We start from the raw sequence: 9828 nt of genomic DNA, 5'->3' as shown, positions 1-9828 counted from the left end.
TATACATGTTAAAATTTACATACAAATTTACTGCAATTTGGGGAGAATTAATAGCTAGAGTATTTTTCCTCATAAATTAACTCTTATGTATAAGATTTGTTAAAAATATCAGATGTTTTCTACTCTCCTTTTTAATGGTCTTAAAATAATTCATCTAAGTATGTCAAAAAGTGGTGAAATCTGTAGTAAAATGAAATATAGCAACAGAAATAATATCAACCTAATATTTATTTCTACTGAGAAATGGTTGAGTATCTTAAATTCGCTCCTATTAATACCACTTAATCAATTTCTTGCTTTCTGCCTTATATTTTTCTTAAAGAAAGCAATTAACTTTTCTAATTGTCTTAAAAGAACACATAAGCAGAATACAGCAATTTTTAAATTCAAATAATACAAGTAGAGACTAAAAAGTAACAAGTCACCTACTCTCCAACTCCACACTTCTTAATTAATTAAAATTGTTTAAATTGTCTTTACAAATACTTCTAATTCTCAATGTAGTTTTAACAAATAAATAATAAGTACTCTGTACTCTTTTTTTCCCCCCTTAGGGATACAGCATGGGTATTCCAGGTCAGTATATGCTGAGATGTCAGTCACTCTTTGGAATCATTGCAGAGCATAACAAAGCATTGATTTCATCAATTTTTATTTATCTTTTTTTAGGTCGTCTCCAAATACTATTATTAATAAATGCTATCCTTAATTGAACATATTTTGACATAAATCCTGGCTCACTATTGAAAGTGATTTTTTTTTTCTTTACTCCTACAAATAGAATTGCTGGCTGGGTGCTGTGGCTCATGCCTATAACCCCAGCACTTTGAGAGTTCAAGGCAGGCAAGTCGCTTAAGGGCAGGAGTTCGAGACCAGCCTGGCCAACATGGCAAAACTCCATCTCTACTAAAAATACAAACATTAGCTGCTGTGATGGTGCATGCCTGTAATCCCAGCTACTAGGGTGGTTGAGACACAAGAATCACCTGAATCCGGGAGGTGGAGGTTGCAGTGAGCTGAGATGGGCCACTGCAATGCAGCCTAATTTCTGTCTCAAATAAAACACACAAAAAAACAAAAACCCTTTCAAATAGAATTGATAAGTCAAAGTTATCTGTGTTTTATATTCTCATAGATACTGTTTTCCAGAACATTTACACTCATTTACATTGCACCCATTTACATTCCATCAACAATCTGAGTCCTATTTTTTATATATTGCCAGATATAGATAGATATATCATCTTTATTTTAAATTGAAGTTTCCTAATTAGTCATGAGTTTTAAGATTTGTTTCCTGATGCTGAATAAGTATCTGTTATTTTCCACTGGCTTTACCATTCTTTATGCTTATGGTTGCCATTTGTATTTCATCTATAGTAAGTTTAAACCAAGAAGATAATGTTATAAATTTTGCTTTAAATAGTTATGTACTTTTGTTAAATTGAGAGAAATAAAATAATATTTTATATTTACCCACATATTTACCATTTCTAATAACTCTTTATCTCTTCCTGAAGAGATAGGTTTCCATCTGGTATTTGTTTAGTCTAAACAACCTCCTTTAGCATTTCTTTAGACAGGACTCCTAGCTATGAATTCTTCTAGATATCTTTTATCTGAAACTGCCTTTATTTTACCTTTATTGTTGAAGGATATTTTCATTGCCCGTAGAATTCTGCTTTGACAGTTTTTTGTTTATCTAGGATCTTAAAGATATTGTTCTGTTTTCTTCTGTCCATCCTACCTTTGATGAGAAGTCAGACATACTTCAAATTGTTATTCCATTATGTACTTTTTTTCTGACCCCTTTCAAGAATTTGCTCTATTCTTTATTTGCCAGCAGTTTGATTTTAATGCCTTAGGTATGGTTTTCTTTGCACTTTTTCAATTTTAGGTCTGCTGAGTATCTTCGTAAGTTTGGGCTTCTGTAACAAAATACCATAGACTGGGTGGCTTAAACAACAAATATTTAGTTTTCACTATTTCACCAAGTTTAAATGAAAAAGAATTTAAACTCTTACATCATATACTTTAGAAGTATTTTTATATTAAAAGTATTTATATCACCTGAATAACTTAAAATTTATTTCCTTCATCTTCCTTCCATTTCTTTACAACTCTCCACATTTCTCAATGCCTAAATACAACTTTCTTCACTAGAGATAAACACTGTTATTAGTATAATATTTTTCAGATACTTTTCCATGTATTTATACATGCATATATATAAAATAGTTTTGTAGAATGTTTACATGAATTTATCTTATTGTATGAATTGTTCAGCAATATGAATTTTTAAATTTATAGTATGGCTTTATGAATCAGTATATGTTAGCCCACCTTATTATTTTATGATCACATAATATTCTACCATATGACTATATTGACATTTATTCTTTCTTTTGATGTATAAGTACAAATTTTTTTTATTAAAAGAGATAAAGATTCATTAAGACTCTTTGTGCACATGTCTATAATGTATTAAAGGTATTCCATGTCCTCTAGAAGTAGAATGCCATGTTGAATGCTATATACCTTTAACATTTTAATAAGTACTGCCATATTGCTTTCCAGAATGACTGTACTTATTTATAACCTCAGTAGAAGTACTGGTAAGCTAAAATTTCCCCACATTGCCTGTTCTCACATTTTTCTCATTAAAATTATTTTGCCTTTATATTTGTAAGTGTTCTTTATATACTATAAATGTGACAACTATTCTCCCTAGTTTCTAGCTCTTTAAAAACTTTAATCTTTATTGTCTTGTCTTAAATAAGTTTTTAAATTAACGACTTATTATTTTTATGTCATGAATTATTTTGTCTGATGCTGGAAGTTTTCTATAAGTAAGAAAAAGGCAAGAAAATTCACGGTCTCAATTTTCTACAATTAAGTATCCTGATAATTAATAATTGGGATACTCTGTAATTACACAGATGCCCCATCTTTGTTTTTATATGTGTTTACTGTGTGGTTGGAGTTCTTTTTCCTTTGAAGTAGTTTTTCACTGTGCATAAGTTTGATGTTTTGTTTCCCCACTCTTCCCTCATGGTTTCTTTGCTAATCTAATCTCACCTGTTTTATATTTTTTAGTAATTTTTTTAAGAGAGTCTCGCTCTGTCACCCAGGCTGGGGTTCAGTGGTACAAACATAGATCACCACGGCATTGACCTCCTGGGGACAGCCTCCTGAGTAGCTGGTCCTACAGGCACTTGCAACCATGCTCAGCTTTATTTATTTATTTAGTAAAAACAGGGGTCTCACTATGTTACCCAAGCTGGTCTTAAGCTCCTGGGCTCATGCGATTCCATTTGACCTCCCTAAGGCCTGGGTTTACAGATGAGCCACCGTACCTAGCCCTAACTCTCCATTTTCAAATGGATTGTTCTCTCTATAACATTTTGTCTTTCATTGCAATGGATTTGGCAGGAGGAGGAGTTTACCCATATATCCAAGGGGGTGATATATGTATGCCTACTTCGCTGTCATGATCAAATCTCCAAAGTTTTTAAAGAGTAGGAAATAAGAAATGTGTTCACTCAGATTCATAGTACTTAAAGAACACTTACAAATTAAAACTATGTAAAGGCAAAATCATTTTTAGTTGGAAAGGCAAAAAACCAGCCAAATCACAGATATAAAAAAGTCTATTGATTCATTTATGTTTTAATAAAGGAAATTAATCCATTCTCATTTATATATTGGGATATGAGTATGCTTACATGTATTTTTTCTATTTACTATTTTTTTGTTTCTCTTTCAAAATTCCTTTTTACAAAATTATATTTCTCATAAAATTTGACATTTTATTTCTATGCTATTTGTGGTTAACCTTTACGTTTTAAAAAATGTTTTAACTTTATAACATGATTTCTGAGCATTTACAAAATTAAACTCTCTACAACTTCAGTTCCAACCAAAGCAATCTCTTTAGCATGTGAGAGACTGCATGAAGCAAGGAAAACTTTCCATTTGGTTGTACATGGAACTGGGTTTATGGGCACAGGGGCTTCTTGCTGGGCAGTCTTCCCCCTCTCAGTCCAGCTCCGCAATGCCCTCCTATAGAAGATACCTCATCTTATTAAGAGTCATTTCTGTGGTTCTAGCTTGAAGGAAATACTGGAGCCTGGTGCTTCCAACTTGAGATAAGTACAATTGTGCTCATTAGATTATCCTTATAATAAATTTCCCCATTAACTACTCACAAAACTGTCCAAACCTGTAGCCCTTTTTGTTTTTAATCTTGATGAAAATCCTATGGTTCTATTCTAGTCTACTTTTTCCCAGTATGATGAGTGGTTTAGACATATCTGTTGGATTTTATCATCAGGTTATCCCTTTTATATATCTTCCAAAAATTCCTAAGTGCTCTGAGCTTACCAGTTTTCCTGATCTGCTGTTTCATATTTTTATATTTCTATCATCTTAATGTGAGTTTAAGATAAAGAAGATATCACTGCCTGCATTTAGTCAGTCGGCTTTCTTTGATTGGAAGTATACAATTAAAAACACCAAAACAAAAACTGAAAACACATTTTTTTATTATTATACTTTAAGTTATGGGGTACATGTGAACAACGTGCAGTTTTGTTACATGGGTATACACGTGCCATGGTGGTTTGCAACACTCATTAGCCCATCACCTACATTAGGTATTTCTCCTAATGCTATCCCTCCCCTAGTCCCCCACCACGCGACAGGCCCCAGTGTGTGATGTTCCCCTCCCTGTGTCCATGTATTCTCATTGTTCACCTCCCACTCATGAGTGAGAACATGAGGTGTTTAGTTTTCTGTTCTTGTGTTAGTTTGCTGAGAATGATGGTTTCCAGTTTCATCCATGTCCCTGAAAAGGACATGAACTCATCATTTTTTATGGCTGCATAGTATTCCATGGTGTATATGTGCCACATTTTCTTTATCCAGTCTATCACTGATGGACAATTGGGTTGGTTCCAAGTCTTGCTATTGTGAATAGTGCCACAATAAACATACGTGTGCTTGTGTCTTTATAGCAGAATTATTTATAATCCTTTGGGTATATACCCAGTAATGGGATGGCTGGGTCAAATGGTATTTCTAGTTCTAGTTCCCTGAGGAATCGCCCACTGACTTCCACAATGGTTGAACTAGTTTACAGTCCCACCAACAGTGCAAAAGTGTTCCTATTTCTCCACATCCTCTCCAGCACCTGTTGTTTCCTGACTTTTTAATGATCGCCATTCTAACTGGTGTGAGATGGTATCTCATTGTGGTTTTGATATGCATTTCTCTAATGACCAGTGATGATGAGCTTTTTTTCATATGTTTGTTGGCTGCATAAATCTCTTCTTTTGAGAAGTGTCTCTTCATATCCTTCACCCACTTTTTGATGGTGTTGTTTTTGTATTGTAAATTTGTTTAAGTTCTTTGTAGATTATTATTATTTAGTAGCCTTTTGTCAGACGGATAGACTGCAAAACTTTTCTCCCATTCTGTAGATTGCCTGTTCACTCCGATGATAGTTTCTTTCGCTGCACAGAAACGCTTTAGTTTAATTAGATCCCATGTGTCAATTTTTGGCTTTTGTTGCCATTTCTTTTGGTGTTTTAGATATGAATTCTTTGTCCATGCCTATGTCCTGAATGGTATTGCCTAGGTATTCCTCTAGGATTTTTATTGTTTTAGGTCTTATGTTTAAATCTTTAATCCATCTTGACTTAATTTTTGTATAAGGTGTAAGGACGGGGTCCAGTTTCAGTTTTATGCATATAGCTAGCCAGTTTTCACAACAACATTTATTAAATAGAGAATCTTTTCCCCATTGCTTGTTTGTGTCAGGTTTGCCAAAGGTCAGATGTTTGTAGATGTGTGGTGTTATTTCTGAGGCCTCTGCTCTCTTCCATTGGTCTATATATCTGTTTTGGTACCAGTACTATGCTGTTTTGGTTACTATAGCCTTGTAGTATAGTTTGAAGAGCAAATAAATTCAAAAGCTAGCAGAAGCAAGAAATAACTAAGTTCAAAGCAGAACTGAAGGAGATAGAGACACGAAAAACCCTTCAAAAAATCAATGAATACAGGAGCTGGCTTTTTGAAAAAATCAACAAAATAGACTGCAAGCCAGACTAATGAAGAATTAAAGGGAGAAGAATCAAATAGACACAATAAAAACTGATAAAGGGGATATCATCACTGATCCCACAGAAATACAAACTACCAACATACTATAAACACCTCTATGCAAATAAACTAGAAAATCTAGAAGAAATGGATAAATTCCTTGACACATACACCCTCCCAAGCCTAAACCAGGAAGAAGTCCAATCTCTGAATAGACCAATAACAGGTTCCGAAATTGAAGGAGTAATTAATAGCCTACCTACCAAAAAAAGTCCAGGACCAGATGGATTCACAGCCAAATTTTATCGGAGGTAAGAGAGGAGCTGGTACCATTCCTTCTGAAACTATTCCAAACAATAGAAAAAGACGGAGTCCTTCCTAACTCATTTTATGGGGCCAGCATCATCCTGATACCAAAACCTGGCAGAGACACAACAAAAAAATAAAATTTCAGGCCAATATCCCTGATGAACATCAATGGAAAAATCCTCAATAAAATGCTGGCAAACTGAATCCAGCAACACATCAAAAAGCTTATTCACCATGATCAAGTTGGCTTCATACCTGGGATGCAAGGCTGGTTCAACATACACAAATCAATAAACGTAATCCATCACATAAACAGAACCAATGACAAAACCCACATGATTATCTCAATAGATGCAGAAAAGGCCTTCAACAAAATTCAACAGCCTTCATGCTAAAAACTCTCAATAAACTAGGTATTGATGGAACATATCTCACAATAATAAGAGATATTTATGACAAACCCACAGTCAATATCATACTGAATGGGCAAAAACTGGAAGCATTCCCTTCGAAAACCGGCACAAGGCAAGGATGCCCTCTCTCACCACTCCTATTCAACATAGTATTGGAAGTTTTGGCCAGGGCAATCAGGCAACAGAAAGGAATAAAGGGTATTCAGATAGGAAAAGAGGAAGTCAAATTGTCTCTGTTTGCAGATGACATGATTGTATATTTAGAAAACCCCACTGTCTTAGCCCAAAATCTTCTTAAGCTGATAAGCAACTTCAGCAGTCTCAGGACAAAAAATCAATGTGCAAAAATCACAAGCATTCCTATACACCAATAACAAACAGAGAGCCAAATCAGCAGTGAACTTTCATTCACAATTGGTACAAATAGAATAAAATACCTAAGAATACAACTTACAAGGGATTTGAAGGACCTCTTCAAGGAGAACTACAAACCACTGCGCAAGGAAAAAAATAGGACACAAATAAATGGAAAAACATTCCATGCTCATGGATAGAAAGAATCAATATCATGAAAATGTCCATATTGCCCATAGTAATTTATAGATTCAATGCTATCCCCATCAAGCTACCAATGACTTTCTTCACAGAATTGGAAAAATCTACTTTAAACTTCATATGGAACCAAAAAAGAGCCCGCATAACCAAGACAATCCTAAGCAAAAAGAACAAAGCTGGAGGTTTCATGCTACCTGACTTCAAACTATACTGAAAACACATTTTTAATGAAAATTATGTTATTGGGTTATAAGACAGGATACATAAAAATAAAATATTTCAGTAAAATTTAATCTTTTATTCAAAATTAGAAATTTTACTTATTAGAAAGTACATTTTTAGTGATTGTCCAAACCGCTAGCCACTATTTATTATTTAAAATCTTTAGTATTAAGGAAAATACTTAGTTATGCACTGAATCTCCAAATAGATAAAAAGAATAATCAACTACTGTTTATATCAATTAAAAGAAATTAAAATTCTTATGCAATTAAAAAATTATCTCTCATATTAAGGAAATATAGTACATGCATAATTAATGTTAGCTCCCTTTCCCCATTTCATAAAGAATCATATACCCCCCTCTCACTCTTCCTAAGAAAGCATATGAAAGTTCTAGATATAAAAATCTTAAAGTTTTATTTCCCCTAACATTATTTGATCATAAAGTTCCCTGGTCAGTAGAACATAAGACTTTTTCAAGTTATCCATGAAGTAAAGTGGTTCAGAAATTTTCAGTGGATTAAATCCATCTTCCACCAACTGATGCTTCAATAGTTTGAATGTTCCTGTTGCTTCCATTTTTTCCTGTAAAGCAATTACCAGGATGAGTAGAATCATTTAATAACTATAATATATACATATATAGTTAATACTATAGACTGTAATATTAAATTATGACACTTTATATCTAGTGATCTCTGTATTTTCTAATAATTTAACACTAGAAATAAAAAATGTATTTTAGAATATTAAAATCTTTAGTTTGATTTACCTGTAAACTTTACTTAAATATAAACTCATTCAATATATAAGAATTATGAACATAATAAACTGATTATAATTATGTCTAAAATACATAGGTTATCTCTTCAATTCAATGCCAATATAACATTATGTATAGAGAATGCCATAAGATGCTAAGGAGATAAAAGCCACAAAAGACAGCAATTTCTACTACAGGTACACACAAATCTATCATAAAAAGCAGAATACTATAAGAGCCAGACGGGGTGCAGAATGTTCTAAAACATGGCTTAAATATACCCAGAGGGGTTACTTGAATGGTCTAAAACTTGAGGTACCTCAGTGAATTTCCAAGGTCCTCACAGGATATCTTGTTTTCAAGAGAAACTCAGTGACATCTGTTAGTCACCAGTCACAAACTACTAGCTCAAGGTTCACAGTTTCAATAGTAATTTGTAATACATTCAATGATGTCATTATCTTTGCAAAATTGGGTTTTTGGTAGTTGCTGGGATAAAAAGCAAGTACAGCCAAAAATCATCATGGAACATGAAATCAGGCTCTCCCTGTCCAGTCCAATCTAATTCCAAGGTCTGAAGAACTGTGGCCCAACTTACATCTCCTTAGTGACTGATTGTGGTTATTTGAAAATGAAATGAAAGCATTTACTTATTTATATGGATTATTTTTCAGGTGGCTACTCATTTGTTAGACCTAAATACTTACCAATCTGTTTTTCCTTAACTAGTGAATAAACAAATGTTTAGGTATTTGTTTTGACCCAAGAGTGCTATGAGACATTAAAGATGCCATGAGTCTAGAAAGTTTAAGAATCTCTGTTTCAAGGTGTTTAAAGGAGATAAGAGTGTATCCCTTTGTGGGAATTTCAGGCATGGATAAACAGTCTGTTTAAGTGAGATGACATGTAGAGACCCTACAACATTCTATGAGTAGCTTGGCCATTTTTATTTATCCTTTTGGACTATTTGAGTCAACTTCACTTTGAACCCCCTTCCCTGATCTCCCTTCCCTCCTCCATCTCCCCTGATCCAACACTGTCATCACAGCCAGATATGGCTGTGCAAGCAAACATATCCTTTTACTCTTTTCTTAAAAATTAGCAGCTCACTGTATTTATACAATTTAGTGTTCTGCCATTTTTAAGCTTAATATTATACAAAGTATATTTTCCTGGGTCCTGTAATTTTCTTCAAAATTGAACTTAGAAAATTGTTTTATAAGGTCTCATTTAATTATCATATTTTAATTAACTTTGCCCTTATTCATGAACTTTTAGAGAATATCAAAATTTTTAACACTAGAAATAAAAAATGTGTTTTAGAATATTAAAATCTTTATACATCTTTGATTACTTCCTAAGATGCATTTTGACTAAGTCAAAATATATGCAAACTGTTAAGAGTCTGATCATATATTACCAAATTGTTTTCTAGAGAGGTTATAACAATTTATGGTTCCATGA

The 9828-nt window shown here is 33.3% G+C and overlaps 1 protein-coding gene across 3 annotated transcripts in view; it reads right to left on the bottom strand.

Moving 5' to 3' along the window:
- Window positions 1-7656: 7656 nt before the first annotated feature.
- The window catches only part of SLC27A6 (solute carrier family 27 member 6), a 68148-nt gene continuing 65976 nt past the window's right edge, over window positions 7657-9828 (bottom strand). For all 3 annotated transcript variants that reach the window (NM_001017372.3, NM_014031.5, NM_001317984.2), the window contains one exon: window positions 7657-8186. In NM_001017372.3, the coding sequence (NP_001017372.1) occupies window positions 8010-8186 (177 nt within the window). In that variant the 3' untranslated portion in view covers window positions 7657-8009. The remainder of the gene's footprint in view (window positions 8187-9828) is intronic.

This window comes from Homo sapiens, chromosome 5 (genome assembly GCF_000001405.40).
Source record: "Homo sapiens chromosome 5, GRCh38.p14 Primary Assembly".
In the NCBI taxonomy this organism is placed as follows: Eukaryota; Metazoa; Chordata; class Mammalia; order Primates; family Hominidae; genus Homo; species Homo sapiens.
This window is presented reverse-complemented; position numbering and strand designations above follow the sequence as displayed.